The sequence below is a fragment of the Homo sapiens genome, chromosome 11, assembly GCF_000001405.40.
Source record: "Homo sapiens chromosome 11, GRCh38.p14 Primary Assembly".
In the NCBI taxonomy this organism is placed as follows: domain Eukaryota; kingdom Metazoa; phylum Chordata; class Mammalia; order Primates; family Hominidae; genus Homo; species Homo sapiens.
The window spans coordinates 68,377,547-68,393,318 of record NC_000011.10 but is presented as its reverse complement, the minus strand read 5'-3'; the positions used below and the strand labels follow the sequence as shown (position 1 = coordinate 68,393,318).

The following is a 15,772-nucleotide window of genomic DNA, read 5'->3' as shown; positions in this document are numbered from 1 at the left end:
ATAATTCACAACAGGTGTTCAAACAAAAACTTGAATTCAAATGTTCACAGCAGCATTATTCACAGGAGACAAAAGGTGGAAACCACTGCCCACCACCCGATAAACAGACAAACAAAATGTGCTGTGGCCATACAATGGGATGTCATCCAGCCACAAAAAGAAAGGAACTTTTTTTTTTGTTTTTTTTTTCAGACAGGGTCTTGCTCTGTTGTCCAGGCTGGAGTGCAGTGGTGCGATCATAGCTCACTGCAGCCTTGACCTCCTGGGCTTAAGCGATCCTCCCACCTCAGCCTCCCAGGTAGCTGGGAACCACAAGTGCCCACCACCACCACGTTCAGTTAACTTTTAAAATTTTTTGGTAGCTGGGGTCTTGCTAGGCTGGCCAGGCTGGTCTCAAACTCCTGCCTCAAGTGATCGTCCCGCCTTGGCCTCCCAGAATGTTAGGATTACAGGCCTAACCCACTGCACCCAGTCAGGAATGAGGTTCTGATAACGTGCGACAATGTGTGGGTGAATCTGGAAAACACAATGCTATGGAAAGAAGCCACACGCAGGGACCACATATTGCAGGATTCCAGTCACACAAAACGTCCAGAAGAAGTGAACCCCCAGAGACAGAAAGTAGATTAGTGGTTGACAGAGGCTGGGAGAGAGGGGAGAATGGGCGTGAGTGCCGGTGGGCATGGGGTTTCCTTCAGGGCAGAAGAAAGTGTTCTAGAAGTAGATAGTAGCAGAGATACCTGCACCACATTGTCCTCATACTAAATGCCCTGAATTGTTCACTTTTTAAAATTTTTTTTATTTATTTATTTTTCAAGACAGAGTCTTGCTCTGTCACACAGATTGGAGTGCAGTGGCATGATCTCAGATCACTGCAACCTCCACCTCCCGGGCTCAAGCGATTCTCCTGCCTCAGCCTCCCGAGTAGCTGGGATTACAGGCACCTGCCACCATGCCCGGCTAATTTTTGTATTTTTAGTAGAGACTGGATTTCATCATGTTGGCCAGGCTGGTCTCAAACTCCTGACCTCAGGTGATCTGCCCACCTCAGCCTCTCAAAGTACTGGGATTACAAGCATAAGCCACCACGCCCAGCCTGAACTGTTCACTTTAAAATGGTTAAAATCATCAATTTTGTGCTATGTTTATTTTACCACAATAAAATCATTGAGCTGCGTGTGACGGCTGATGCCTGTCATCCCAGCACTTTGGGAGGCCGAGGCAGGTGGATCGCTTGTGCCTCAGGAGTTTGAGATCAGCTTGGGCACCACAGCGAAACCCCATCTCCCCCCACAAAAAATACACAAAAACTAGCTGGGTGTGGTGGTATGTGTCTGTAGTCCCAGCTACTCAGAGGGTGAGGCAGGAGGATCACCTGAGCCCAGGGAGATTGAGGCTACAGCGAGCCGTGATTGCGCCACTGCACTCTCGCCTGGGTGAGCGAGCGAGACCCTGTCTCAAGAAAACCACTGCTGAGACAGTACATGGAACAACGCCTGTCACAGGCCTGGTGTGCCACAGACACGCGAGTCCCTGACCTGCTCCCACGGGTAGCGGGGATGCGTGAAGGCAAATCATCCTCAGCGGCCCGCAAACATGGGCCTTGCCAAAAACAAAACATTTACAAGGAGCTCCAGCAGGAAATGGCCACACCTGCAGCTCCTAGGGTTTTCGTGGGAAGGGCGTCCACTCAGCCTCCCCCATCCCTGGGTTCCCCACCCTGAAGGTGCTGAGACTCCTCCCGCTCAGAAGCAGGGTCTGAAATCCTGCAACACAGACACACACTCGTGTTCTCCATCCTGCCCTGCCCTGCAAGCTGCCTGATTCGGGCCTCCCCTGGGAGCCCTGAGGAGAGCAAAGGTGACCCCGATGGTGACGTCAACAAGGACTGATGCAGCTCAGGAAAATCCTTCAGAAGTTGCTGGAAACAGAGGGAGGCATCCACCCCGAGGAGAGGCACCAATGTCACCTCAATGGGTGACGATGGTGCGATGGGGACACATGTAACATATCACTGGCACCAAGAGAACCTCAAAATATGCTCAACAGAGGCTGGGCGCGGTGGCTCACGCCTGTAATCCCAACACTTTGGGAGGCCGAGGCAGGTGGATCATGTGAGACCAGGAGTTCCAGACCAGCCTGACCAACATGGTGAAACCCCCTGTCTACTAAAAATACAAAATTTAGCCAGGCGTGGTGGCGGGCACTTGTAATCCCAGCTATGTGGGAGGCTGAGGCAGGAGAATGGCATGAACCCAAGGAGGCAGAGGTTTCAGTGAGCTGAGATCGCGCCACTGCACTCCAGCCTGGGCAACAACAACGACAACAAAAACAAACAATCAAACAAAATCAAACAAAAACAAACAACAAACAAAAAAGCTCAAGAGAGGCTCCACAGGTGAGCAAAAAGCTGCCAAAGCACGCCCATGGGACGAGGCCACTGAAACCCGACCACAGCGGCAGGGCGAGGCTGCGTCCACAGGACGAGGCCACTGAAACCCGACCACAGCGGCAGGGCGAGGCTGCGTCCACGGGACGAGGCCACTGAAACCCGACCACAGCGGCAGGGCGAGGCTGCGTCCACAGGACGAGGCCACTGAAACCCGACCACAGCGGCAGGGCGAGGCTGCGTCCACGGGACGAGGCCACTGAAACCCGACCACAGCGGCAGGGCGAGGCTGCGTCCACGGGACGAGGCCACTGAAACCCGACCACAGCAGCAGGGCGAGGCTGCACCCAGCAAAGGGAGAACAGACATCTATGGAAAAACAAAACTGCCTTCAACTGCTTAGGAACCAATCACCAAACTCAGGCCAGCAGCTGCCTCTGGCTTCAACAACACCCATGTTTTCTGTCTTAAGCAGGGCAGTGGATATGTGATTAACTTTTTGTCTTAATTTTGTATTGTGAAATAATTTAAATCTCACAGTAAGTGGCAAAAGCAGTGCAGAGGATTCCTGTGTCCCCTTTGCCCGGGCTGGCCTCAAACTCTTGGACTCCAGCGATCCTCCCACCTCAGTCTCCAAGTAGCTGTGTCTACAGGCACCTGGCCGAATGATAACATCTTACGTAACCACAGGACGTTGTATAGCGCTACCCTCTCAAGGCGTTTTTGTCAGAAAGTATTGTAACTATTTTCTCAAGCATTCCATGTGGCCAAATAGCAGAGCACAGGCACCCATCGGTGCCTCGCCAATACGTACATCTGGCTGCAGGGGGTGGCTGGGCCTGGCCTCCTGGATCAAACATGTCCACAGGAGCCTCACCTCGATCTTGTCTGTCTTGGCGTCTCCCCAGTAGAGCTTCCCCTCCTGCAGGTCCAGGGCCAGGCCGTTGGGCCACCCGAGGGAGGCATTGACCAGCACACGCCGCTCCTGCCCATCCAAGTTGGCACACTCGATTTTAGGGTTCTCTCCCCAGTCTGTCCAGTACATGAGGCTGGAGAAGAAGCAGAAGTCCATGACCCCATGAGTCTGTCTGGTCTCTGCAGCATCCCCAGTGCCAAGAGCAAGGCCTGCCCCCAAGCCGGCCCCCATCACATGGCTAAATGTTGATGTCAGTAAATATTGGTGTCAGTAAATGTCGGTGCTCGTAAATGTCGGTGTTGGTAAACATCAGTGTCAGTAGATGCTGGCGTTGGTAAATATCAGTGTCGGTAGATGCCAGTATCAGTAGATGTCAGTGTCAGTAAATGTCAGTGTCGGTAAATGTCGGTGTCGGTAAATGTCAGTGTTGGTAGATGCTGGCGTCGGTAAACGTCGGCGTTGGTAAACATCGGTGTTGGTAAATGCTGGTGTTGGTAAATGTCGGTGTTGGTAGATGCTGGTGTTGGTAAATGTTGGTGTCAGTAGATGCCAGTGTCAGTAGATATCAGTGTCAGTAAATGTCAGTGTTGGTAAATGTCGGTGTTGGTAGATGCTGGTGTTGGTAAATGTCAGTGTCAGTAGATGCTAGTGTCGGTAAACATCAGTGTCAGTAGATGCCAGTGTCAGTAGATGTCAGTGTCAGTAAATGTCAATGTCGGTAAATGTCAGTGTTGGTAAATGTCAGTGTTGGTAAATGTCGGTGTTGGTAGATGCTGGCATCGGTGTCAGTAGATGCCAGCGTCAGTAGATGTCAGTGTTGGTAAATATCAGTGTCGGTAAATGTCGGTGTCGGTAAATTTCAGTGTTGGTAAATGTTGGTGTCGGTAAATGTTGGTGTTGGTAGATGCCAATGTCAGTAGATGTCAGTGTTGGTAAATAGTGTTGGTAAATGTCAGTGTCGGTAAATGTCAGTGTTGGTAGATGCCAGTGTCAGTAGATGTCAGTGTTGGTAAACAGTGTTGGTAAATGTCAGTGTCGGTAAATGTCGGTGTCGGTCAATGTCGGTGTTTGTAAATGTTGGTGTCAGTAGATGCTGGTGTCAGTAAGTGCTGGAGGACTGAGCATGCCAGCGGCAAGCCCAGTGACCAGAGTCCCTGGGGGCTCCCCTGGGACAGGGATGCCCACTTCCACCCTGTGCGGGTTTCACCACACCAGCCCTTGGACTCTCAGGGGCCAAGAGCTCATCTCCCATCCCAAAGGTCAGTGGACAGAAATGACCCTGCCCAGGGTCTGGGGCAGCCTCACATCTGACTAGTGGGCTGGAGGAGCTGAGCACCTAGAGGGAGGAAGGGGCAGAGCAGAACCTTCTGCACATAGCTGAAGGGCTCCCCTATGCAAAGGACAGGTGACTTGTTCCCTGGGGCCCCCCAAGGAGGGAACCCAGATCCTGGGGTGGCAGCTCAGGGGTGAAGGTTCTGAGGCCCCAAGTCACAGCCTCTGCTTCAGCTGTGTCTGACCCAGCCGGCCAGCCCCTCTGCCTCCCGCTTCCAGCTCGGTGCCCCTCCCTGGACCCCACGACCTCACAGGTCAGACTGCCAAGCCCATGTCCCTGGGATCCTCAGACTCATGAAACCAGGGCTAGGAGGGGCCTTGGAGTCAGCTTCCCCATCCCTTCCTTTTTCACAGATGAGGACACCGAGGCCCATGTAGACAGTGACTTGACCAAGCTCCTGACCTCAGGGCCGTGTTCCCTTCACTGTAGCTGGCAACCAGTTCCTGGGCCTCCTCTTGCTAAAGCCCCTGGGGACCCCACTTCTTACCCTCATCCACCCTCCTCGGGGCACAACCCAGCCCTTCAGCCACTGCCATGGAGCAGCCCTCTCCCACATGCCTCCGTGCCCCAGGGTCCACGGATGGCTGCTCGAGCCCCGCCCTCTGCCTGCTGTGCTCCCGCTGCCTGCTGCACTCCCGCTGCCTGCTGCCTGACATGCTGGCTCCTAGACACCAGTCCACTTGCAGGAAAAGCTCCCCGGCCAGCACACTCACAACCCCCAGGGCTGGGCCACGAGCACAGGCTCCACAGCCCACAAATCCTCTGCCCGCCGCTGCCCGACGGGTGCCCTGGGCAAGTTACTTCACCTTCTGAGCTTCAGGTCCCAGGGCCATGAACCTGGAAACACACCTGGTGCCCACTAAGTGCTCCACAGAGGGCAGCACCGCTACTGACCTCCCAGCTCCTCTGGGACTTCCCATCGGCACCCACAGCTCCACTGCGCCTCCTCCATCAGGGTTTTCCCATTCAGTGTTCTGGGTTATGAGCCCCCAGGAAGGCCCCTGGCTACTACCCTCTGAGCCGCTGGGGCGGGTCTCAGAAAGTCTCCCCTACCGACCGACAAACTATCTGCTTTCACAGATTTCTATGCTGGAAAGCTGGAGCCACGCTGCCAGGCCCAGCCCCACACCTGCCACATCCTGCTGTGTGACCCTGGGCAAGTCCCTGAGCCTCTCTGGGCTTCAGTGTCCTCAACTGTACAACTGTACCTACCCCCCTGGATGAAAAGACCCATGGTGTGCAAAGTGTTCAAAAGAGGCCTGGCCTGACCGGGCGTGGTGGCTCATGCCTGTAATCCCAGCACTTTGGGAGGCTGAGGCAGGTGGATCACCTGAGGTCAGGAGTTTGCGACCAGCCTGGCCAAGACGGTGAAACCCCATCTCTACCAAAAATACAAACATTAGCCAAGCACAGTGGCAGGCACCTGTAATCCCAGCTACTCAGGAGGCTGAGGCAGGAGAATCACTTGAGCCCAGGAGGCAGAGGTTGTAGTGAGCTGAGATCACACCACTGCACTCCAGCCTGGGCGACAGAGTGAGACTCCATCTCAAAAAAAAAAAAAGAAAAAAAGAGGCCTGGCCTGTACTGTGGTCAGTGTCACAGAGGCTGCCCTTACTGTCACTACTGTCATCCTGGAAATCACCCAGATGGACCGTTCCATTCTACAGATGAGGAAACTGAAGCCAGGGGAACAAAGGGCTCCCTCCAGGTCTCCAGGGCTTTCTACGCATGGACCCAGCAGCAGCACCGGACCACTGGGGTGCTTGTTAGAAACCCAAGTCTTCAGCCCCGCCCTGGAGCTCCTGAATCACCGCTCTGGGGGTGGGGCCCAGCTGCCGGTGTTTTAACAAGCCCTCCTCCGGGTTCTGATGCAAGACAGTGTCCCAGAATGACAGGTCCAGGTCAATCTCCCTCTCGCCTGTGCTTGGCCTGGCCCTGGCTCCAGGCCCCAGCCCCCGCCCGTCTTACCCCATCACGGGGTGCAGTGCGATGGCTCGGGGCTCGTCCAGGTCCTCCGACACCAGGATCTTGCGGGAGGTGCCGTTGAGGCGCGTCACCTCGATGCGGTCCGTGCCCGTGTCGGTCCAGTAGAGGTTTCGGGCCACCCAGTCGACCGCGATGCCATCGGGGTCGTTGATCTCGGTGTTGACCAGCGTCTGCGCCCCAGACCCGTCCAGGTACGCCCTGCGGATGGCCCGCACCTCGTCATCTGTCCAGTAGACATAGCCCTCTAGCGGGTCGTAGTCGATGGCAATGGCGTGCCGGATGTCGTCCACCTGCAGCACGATGTCGGTGAAGTCCGGCGTGTCCAGCGAGATCCTCCGTAGGTCCGTCCGCCGGGCCAGCAGCAGCACCTCCTCGGCTCCTGTGGAGACAGGTGCAATGGGGTCAGGGGTCAAGGGCCTGCAGCAGGCACAAGTCTAGGCCTGGGGTGGGCCGGGCAAGGGAAATACTCAGCCAGGCCCCCAGGGCTCTCCTTGCAAAGGCTGGTGATGTTAGGTGACACGCACCCAGCCCATGCTACATGGTCACTCGTTCATCCTCATGACACCTCTGGGAGGCTGGCACTGTTTGTTTCCTCATTTTACAAATGAGAGAACTGAAGCACTGAGAGGTTATGCACGCAGCTGAGAGCCACACAGCCAGGCCATTGGGCTTCAGCTGCTGGGTGGGAGCTGCCTCACAGTCCCCCTTGTCTCCTGCCAGCCCCTCTCCTGGCCACAAACCAGCCCCAACCACAAGTCCCGCCGGGTACCAGGCTGCAGACCCAGCTGCTGGCCATGCTGCTCAGCGTCCCCAGCATGCCCACCTTGCAGGGGCTCACCCTTCCTGCCCAGCTCGACGCCACTTCATCGCTCCCTCCTCTCCACCACCCGAGGGCGGCTTCAGGCCCCAGCACCGTGCCGGGGGGCTCCTAGGCAGGGCCAGACACACCCTTCAAGTGAATCGCCCTCTTTGCTCAACTGCCCAGATGCTCCCAGGCCACCGAGATGAAGGGAAACCCTGGTTCTGAGGCCTGAGACCCGGGGGCACTTTCAGGAACACCAAGAGCTAACACAGAGTTTCACGACCACTTGACACACCAGGCAACACAGGTGCGAGATGAGAAACACCTCCGGGGCATGCATTCTGGTCACGGCTAGACCCAGGGCCCTGGCTCCTTGGATGGGGCTGCACCGCGGCCTCCACACAGCTGGGCCATCAGAACACAGTGATGACCCCCAGTAACTCAGACCTCGTTTCTAAATAGGGTCCCACAGAGAACAGGCAAGGCACTGTCCACACACTTCCAACGAAGTTTCAGAACCACGCCACGAAGCACCCACCCCACAGCCACCTGGGTCTCTGCTGCCCCCCAGGGCCAAGCCTGCTGCTGGCTGAGCAGCTTGAGGTCACGCCCCTCCACGGCACAGGTGGACAGGGTTCAGAGTGGCACTTAGGCAGGTGGATGAGGGGAGAGCCTGGTCCTCTCAGGATGTCCCTGCAGACAGGCTGGACACAGCTGGGGACAGGAGGATGCTCAGGTGATTCTGGTCTCAAATAAAAGCCCCCTCTCTAGCTGAGGGCAGGATTTGCCAGCCCCTAAGACTTGCACGTGTTGAATCCCCAAGGAAAGTTCCCTCTGCTCTGGGCATCTGTGCCCTGCCTAACTCACCAGTGTGACCTGACAGCGTACAACCGGCACAAGAGAAGCTTAACTCAGGCTCCCTCCGTGGCCACAGCAACACTCTGAGAGCATCTGAGCAACAGGGCCCAGGGATCCGCTGTGGACGGGGTCCCGCCGCTCAGGCCCAGAGGCGTGCAAACCCAAGGACTCCTCACCACCCACTCCACAGGACGCACGGAGACCCCCCAACCTTTCAGCCATGGCCCTCAAGTGGGCTTCAGTTTGGGGGGTGGGGGGTTACAGGATTCTCTTCTGAACCCCCGTGGCCCACCCTCCACATGCTCCTGACCCCCAGGGCCCGAGGCTCCACACACAACGGTATCAGCATTTCTGACTGTGTCCTAGGACCCCCAGTTTGGATTTATCAGAGCTTCCTACAGAAATTGCAAGTGGAGACCCATGCAGACTTGGGGCCCCCAGGGTGCCCCATAATCCTGACAGATCCTTCCTGAGGTTGCTGGGATCAGGATGTGGCTCCCTCCCCAGGTTAGGGCATCGTCTACTCATTTGTTCCAGACCTTTCTGGTCTCAAGGATGCACAGAGCCAAGAAGGTCAGGGTCAGAGACCCCTCCCAGCATCCTGTGGCCATGCCCCTGCACAGGGGCCCAGGTCACAATCTGCAAAGGGGCCCGGGGCTGAACCAGCCCAGAGCCTCCCTGATGCCCTGGCCCCTAGACCTGGCCCTGCAGCCAACTGCCAGATCTCCTGAGTGCCCTGCCAGGCTGCAGCCTTCAAACAACAGATGGTCCCCTGTGCCCAGGCTCTGGCTCTCGCCAGGAGGAATGCAGAGACTGTTCCAGGATCCCGGCATCCAACGTTTCAAGGAAAGACAGGAGCCCCTCCTGACTCCTGCTCCAAGCCCCGGAGTGCATAATCTGATTCCTCCACTAGAGGGCGCCCACGTGATGGCAACAGCGACACGGGCCCAGGGCTGGGGAAACTGAGGCAGGCAGGCTGGGGAGAGGCAGAGGCAGCACTTAGAAGGTTCCCCAAGTGCCCAGCTACAATGGAAATCTCTGAGAGCCAAATTTAGATCTGGTCAGGGGCATCTGATTTGGTGTGTATTGGTAGGGGGAGGGGAATCTGAATTTCAACAAATTTTCTCCCTCTAGGCTCCACTCCCAAAATGTTCTGTTGACAATGGACCTGTCCTTCAAGGCCCAGGTCACACAGCACCGCCACCTCCTCCTCAGGGAAGCTGTTCCTCCCGCCACCTCCTCCTCAGGAAAGCTGTTCCTCCCCACACCCCAGTGGATGGCCGCCCCATACCAACAGTCGGCCTCATGGCGAGGGCGCCACCCTCACTGGGGTCCTGGCACAAGCCCCCTGCTCTCCACAGCCCCCAGCACAGAACCACATCCACAGCAGCACTACATCCAGGGATGAGCAGGGAGAATCCGAGACCGAAACCTCTGGGGCCTGCTGGGTGACCTCGGGCAGGTTCCTGCCCCTCTCTGGGCCTGTCTCCTCATCCAGTGAATAATCAGCCAGGCTTGGCGATGCCCGAGTCCCTGTCTAGCTATGACTTGGAGGGGACCAGAGACTCCACTTCACGAAAGGTCCCTGCTTAACAGCCACTGTGGGGAGATCACAGTCCTGGAAGGTCCCCAAGGGCTTGGCCGGGAAGAGCCCCATCCACACGATGTCTACAGAACTTTCCAATGAGACTGCCAGGCACAGCGCAAGACGAATCACGCTTGACCTCAGCAGTGTGTCCATCATGGCCCCACAGAGAACGCCAGTGCCAGACAGAAACCGGCACTTGATCCCAAAACACATTCCAAGCCTGTCTTGCCAGCCCGTTCCCTCTGTCCTCCTAAGAAATCACTAAAGTAGGCCGGGCGCGGTGGCTCATGCTTGTAATCCCAGCACTTTGGGAGGCCGAGGCAGGTGGATCACCTGAGGTCAGGAGTTCAAGACCAGCCTAGCCAACATGGTAAAACCCCCTCTCTACTAAAAATAGAAAAATATGCCAGGCCTGGTGGCGCACTCCTGTAATTCCAGCTACTTGGGAGGCTGAGGCAGGAGAATCACTTGAACCCAGGAGGCAGAGGTTGCAATGAGCTGAGATCGCGCCACTGCACTCCAGCCTGCGCGTTGGGGTGAGACTTTGTCTCGAAAAAAAAAAAAATCATTAAAGTAACACAATAGCACAATTTTCACACACCACCCCTTGAGCTATGAGGATGCCCCATTCTACTGACAAGGACCCCAACGCTCAGAGAGGGTAGGCTCCCGGCCCAAGGACACACAGCCGCAAGAGGAAAGCTCACTTCACTTTGCTTCCTCAAACACTTCAATCCCAGGAGCCAGCACATGCAGGAAGTGCGTTTTTCACTTGCCGCCTGGCTGCCTTCATCATCCCACCAGTATCTCTGTGGGAAGCTAGTTCAGGCCAGGCCCTGGACCCGCTGCTAGGGAAGGAGGGGTGGACGAAACAGACTTGGAATCTGCCCTCAGGACGCCCTTGGGGTCACAGGGCAGAGACCTTAGGTGAACGACACCATCCGTGAACACATAGCCACGAACTGTACTGTGAAGGCAGACTAGGGTTATGGGGTCTGTGTGGGGGGCCTGCTGAGATTGAGAGGTCTGCTCTCCAGCTCAAGAGCCTCTGGGATTTAGGTAGCTGTCACCACATGGCAGGTTGTGGCAGGTTCTGGCGGGGTGTCCCAAATGGGCCTAGAACCTTCAGGGGCTGAGCACACCCAGCCCTAGCCCTCTGGTAACTAGGTCAGCAGAGGGCCTCTAGTCCCACCATGAGGAACCTATTCTCGGCATCCCTTCCAATTACTTAGGAGTAAATCAAACCTCTGTGGCGAAGCAGTCCTTTCACTGCTGGGGTGAATCTGTAGGTGTTTACTGACTCGAAGGAGGTGTCTCTGACACCCCTCAGGCTGCAAGGCCTCTGAGGTTTTTGAGTTTTGCAGAGACTGAGACACCTGGGAGAGAGGCAGGATCCAACCCATTTGCCTGAAGGTCTGAGTGAGCTGTGACCAGCACAGAGGTGACCCCAGTGGTGGTGGGGACTCTGTCCAGCCAGGCCAGCAGGGAGCAGCTGCAGAGAGAGTACCAGCAGCCTGGGCTCCGCCACAGCCCTGCCAAGGCTGGTGCCCACAGCTGGCCTCCAGGAGGTTCTGTGTGTAGAGAGGTCCGGGCAGCAGCCATGGCCACGGGGAAGCAGGCCTGGGGTTGGGAGGGGCAGGTGCAGGGGACTGACTGTGCCGGGCTATAAAGAAGAGAGGCCAACTCCTTCCCTGGGACCAGCTACAGAGTCTTGGTAGGAATTTATTTAAACACCAAGGAAGTAAAATGTTTGGAAACTAACAGTTTGGCCAAATGGTTTTCTTTGGGGTTGTTTAAACAGCCCCACAACATTGCCTGAAAGTGAAACCTTCCCCTCGCCCGAGCCTCCTCCAGGCGGGCTGCTGACCTCTCCCCTTCCTCCCTGCACGCATGCAGGAGAGAAGGGCGACATCCCTTCCGCGAGGCCAAGCACAGGCCAGGGGCTTGGGGCAAGGGCCAGGCAGGGCACAGCTTCCTGGCAGGCAGCCTTATCCTCAAAACAAAAAAGCCATCCCAAGGGATGGCCGACGTCATGGACATGTCCAGCTCGACACCGTCCGTCCCTGCCCACCTCTGTCCCCGACCACATGGACACGCAGAACCTGCAGAGGGCTCCCGTGACACATCGCCACCAACCAGGTGGCTTCTAACATCAGAAATGCACCCCCCCACACACCCTAAGACATGCATCCCTGCAATCAAAAGTCAAGACGTCTGCAGGGACAGACTCCCTCCGAAGGCTCCAGGGCAGGATCCTTCCTGGCATCTTCCAGCTTCTGGTGTTGCAGGAAATACTTGGAGTTCCTTGGCTTGTGGCCGCCATCGCACTAAGCCCTGTTCTGACTCCATGCAGCCTTCACCCCTGAGTGTCAGTGTCTGCTCACCTGCTCTCATGAGGACACCAGCACCGTGGATATAGGCCCCCTACTCTAGGGTGACCTCATCCTCGCTTGATTACATCTGCCAAGACCCTGTTTCCAAATTAGATCACATACACAGGTTCCTGGGGTTAGACCTTTAGCATATCTCCTTGAGGGACACAATTCAACGTACCCAGCCGGGAGCAGAGGGTAAGAGGAGCGCTTCAGTGGAAGGACAGAGGCAAGTGTGCCAGGCAGAGCAGACGGCCTGGGCCACTGCACAGAGGCCAGAGAGAGGGTGGCCCAAACCTGTCGCCGGGGCTGATCTGAGCGTGGAGGCCTGGCACCCACCAGCATTGGCACTGCCCCGCCCACCACAGCTCTCTTCTGAGGCCCCACTGCATGCAGGACACGCCCCACTGCGTGCAGCTCCGAGCCCAGCCCTATCCTCCAGGAAGCCTCATGCAAACAGCCCGCCGTGCGTGCAGCAGATCCCGACCACAAAAGCAAACAGACTGCCACTCTCACACAAAAGCCGGGAAGGAAACGCGCTCAAATGTCAACAGTGGTTATCGTCGGACGGGTCCTATCCTTCCTTCTAGCTGTCGGACAGAGGTCGGCAAGCACTCTGGGAAGGGCCAGAGAGCAAATATTTTCGGTGCTGCGGCCTGCACGGTCTCCTTCCCGCCTCCTCAGCTCTGCCGCAGCTGTAGGAAGCCAGCCTGCCTCAGTCAACACAGCTGGGAGCAAACAAAACTTCATTTATGGACACTAAAATGCAAATTCCATGTCATTTTCCCATGTCCCAAAACATTATTCTCCTGATTTTCTTCTCAACCATGTAAATATGTAAAAAGCATTCCGAGCTCATGGCCTGTCCCAACTAGATGGTGAGCCATCTGGCCCCTCGGCCAAATGACCCTCGTACAAGAAGCGTGTGTGACTTTGTTTTTGAGACGAAGCTTCACTCTTATTGCCCAGGCTGGAGTGCAGTGGCGCGATCTCGACTCACTGTAACCTCTGCCTCCCAGGTTCACGCCATTCTCCTGCCTCAGCCTCCTGAGTAGCTGGGATTACAGGTGCCCGCCACCACGCCTGGCTAACTTTTTGTGTTTTTAGTAGAGACGGGGTTTCACCATGTTGGCCAGGCTGGTCTGGAACTCCTGACCTCAGGTGATCTGCCTGCCTCTGCCTCCCAACGTGCTGGGATTACAGGCGTGAGCCACCACGCCCAGCCATGAGTGACTTTTATAATATCAGAAAGAAAGTTACAATAGGGGAAGGAGGGAAGGTGGGGAGGAGGAGAGGAGGACAGCAGGTGGAAGGAACTCTCTGTACTTGTCCCTTAATTTTCCTGTAAACTTAAAACTGCTCTAAAAAAATGAAGTCTATTAATGTTGTTTAAAAAATTAAAAGGCATACAAGTCAATAGGGACAACACCAAAACCCTAGCAATAAATTAGCGAAGACTATAAATACAAATTAACAGGAGAAACAGCAGTCAGTAAACGTGGAAATTGGTAACTTCTCAGTCATCTGCAAATAGAAGGGAGCCGCTCAGAGCTGCCAGTGAGGTGGAAAGGCCTGTCTGACACTTAAGTGGGGGCATCTCCCGCTTCTGGAAGGGCCGTAAAGCACCGCAGGCTTCCTGGTCAGCAGCCCGGGAACCGCGGACCCCAGCATTTCCTCTCTAAGAACACAGGCAGAAGCAGCAGCTGGAACGCATGGAGGTTCCTGCAACCAGACACCACCATGGCTCCACAAGAACAGCAAAACTCAAGACCAAGAACCTGGAGACAACCCAAATGTCCTCAAATATTTTTGAATAAAATGTACTTATTTTACCTAAACGAGGGCATTCAAGGTGACGGGTGATGACACAGGCAGGAAAACAGCACACTCTGGAGAAGAGTGAATGATGTCGGAATTTGCATGAACGATAAATGAAAAACACTCAGACACAACATTACACACATTGTTTGAACCAATCTCCTAAAAGTCAATTTATGTATTTATTTATTTTATTTTTATTTTTTTTTTTGAGACAGAGTCTCGCTCTGTTGCCAGGCTGGAGTGCAGTGGCGTGATCCTGGCTCACTGCAACCTCTGTCTCCTGGGTTCAAGCGATTCTCCTGCCTCAGCCTCCGGAGTAGCTGGGATTAGAGGCACCCACCACCACGCCTGGCTAATCTTTTATTTTTAGTAGAGATGGAGTTTCGCCATGTTGGCCAGGCTGGTCTCAAACTCCTGATCTTCAGTGATCCACCCCCCAACCCCAACTCCAGCCTCCCAAAGTGTTGGGATTACAGGTGTGAGCCACCGCGCCTGACCCTAAAAGTCGATTTTGATCCGTAAACAGAAAAAAGGTGCACAAGATACATGGACACAACTAAGTCTGTGTGGCAAAATTATGGGTAATTTCTATTTTCTTCACTATTTTTTATAATGTTTTCCTTGCTACAGCGAACGTATAAATGTTATTTTATAAGAGGAAAAAAAAGCCTCTGAAACACGGGTGAATGGGTTTATCCTTAGAGGCTCTCGGTCTCTAAGGGAGGTGGGAGGTGGGTCAGGATGCCGGGGACAGGGTCCTCTTCCTGGGGCAACGTGGGGGAACGAGCCACCTACCCCTCCACTGAATTGCCCTGGGGTGTGGGTACCGACGGCTCATTCGGTGTCCAGGGTCTGAGATGTGTTGACAGGAAGAATGAAAGGGGATGGGAGGGATGGGGCGAAAGAAGCCACCTGCAGCCCCAGGAACTATCTGGCCAGCACACCGTCGCCCAGCGGCCTGAGCCACCCCTGCCAGAGCCAGGAGGAGACCCTGCCAATGGGTCACCAGTGTGCAGGAACTCAGAAGGTCATCACAGTTAATACCCTCCATGCCCCAATGTGGGAAAACAGGTTTTTTCACAAACAAACAAGATAATTTTTGTTATTTTGGCAAAAGGAGGCAGGGCAGCCCCGGACACCTCCATCCCACCTCATCACCCAGCCGCAGGGCCCCGGCCATCCCTGCAGACAGAGTGGATGTCACAACCTCCCTGCACCGAACCAAGTGCAGCTCCCAGGCCACAGGCCACCCAGGAAAGGTCCAGTGGCCCCCGGAGGCTCCCACCGCAGGCCTCCCACCACAGCCGGCACCAACCCAGGATAGCTGTGTTCTCCTGGCTTCTTTTCACACGGGTAGCAGAAAGCTGAGATCCGGGGAAAGCTGAGATCCGGGGAAAGCTGAGATCCAGGGAAAGCTGAGAATCGGCCTCTGCTGCCCGGACGCCCACCCCCAGCTCTGCTCCCAGCTCCAGGGCCTCCTTCTCAGGTGCCCTTACAGGAGGCAGAGGGCTTGAGCCACCTCCTGGGCCTGGGGCACGCAGGATGAACGGGGTCACGGTGCAGGCCACTGTCCACTGCGCAGATCCCAAGGCCATAAACAGCCTGGCCACAGTGGCTTCCCAGCTGGCAGGCGGCCAGATTATTTTTGTTGTTTAGCAATTGATTAAGTTTCTCCGCTGCCCCCAGGGGTAAGTGGTGGGGCAAATG

General features: G+C 55.7%; 1 protein-coding gene across 10 annotated transcripts in view, besides 4 other annotated features; it reads right to left on the bottom strand.

Annotated features, from left to right (window-relative positions):
- LRP5 (LDL receptor related protein 5) overlaps window positions 1-15,772 on the bottom strand; it is a 150,864-nt gene that overhangs the window by 55,957 nt on the left and 79,135 nt on the right. For 9 of the 10 annotated variants that reach the window (XR_001747874.2, XM_011545031.2, XM_011545029.2 and 6 more), the window contains exons 6-7: window positions 6,607-7,003; window positions 3,267-3,438 (exon numbers count right to left, since the gene is read on the bottom strand). Coding sequence is in view for 8 of the 10 variants with exons in the window: in XM_011545031.2 (XP_011543333.1) it covers window positions 3,267-3,438; window positions 6,607-7,003 (569 nt within the window). In the remaining 2 variants the exon portion in view is untranslated. The remainder of the gene's footprint in view (window positions 1-3,266; window positions 3,439-6,606; window positions 7,004-15,772) is intronic. The other variant, NM_001291902.2, reaches the window with a different exon arrangement.
- Window positions 6,385-6,608: a silencer, noted in NCBI's record as "fragment chr11:68154179-68154402 (GRCh37/hg19 assembly coordinates)". NCBI's record gives its function as "represses an EF-1alpha promoter that drives an FKBP-Casp9 reporter gene in an ReSE screen in K562 erythroleukemia cells {active_cell/tissue: K562}" and the evidence as "EXISTENCE:reporter gene assay evidence [ECO:0000049][PMID:32094911]".
- Window positions 12,382-12,431: an enhancer, noted in NCBI's record as "active region_5138". NCBI's record gives its function as "activates an Ori minimal core promoter by ATAC-STARR-seq in GM12878 lymphoblastoid cells {active_cell/tissue: GM12878}" and the evidence as "EXISTENCE:reporter gene assay evidence [ECO:0000049][PMID:35858748]".
- Window positions 12,732-12,781: an enhancer, noted in NCBI's record as "active region_5137". NCBI's record gives its function as "activates an Ori minimal core promoter by ATAC-STARR-seq in GM12878 lymphoblastoid cells {active_cell/tissue: GM12878}" and the evidence as "EXISTENCE:reporter gene assay evidence [ECO:0000049][PMID:35858748]".
- Window positions 12,812-12,901: an enhancer, noted in NCBI's record as "active region_5136". NCBI's record gives its function as "activates an Ori minimal core promoter by ATAC-STARR-seq in GM12878 lymphoblastoid cells {active_cell/tissue: GM12878}" and the evidence as "EXISTENCE:reporter gene assay evidence [ECO:0000049][PMID:35858748]".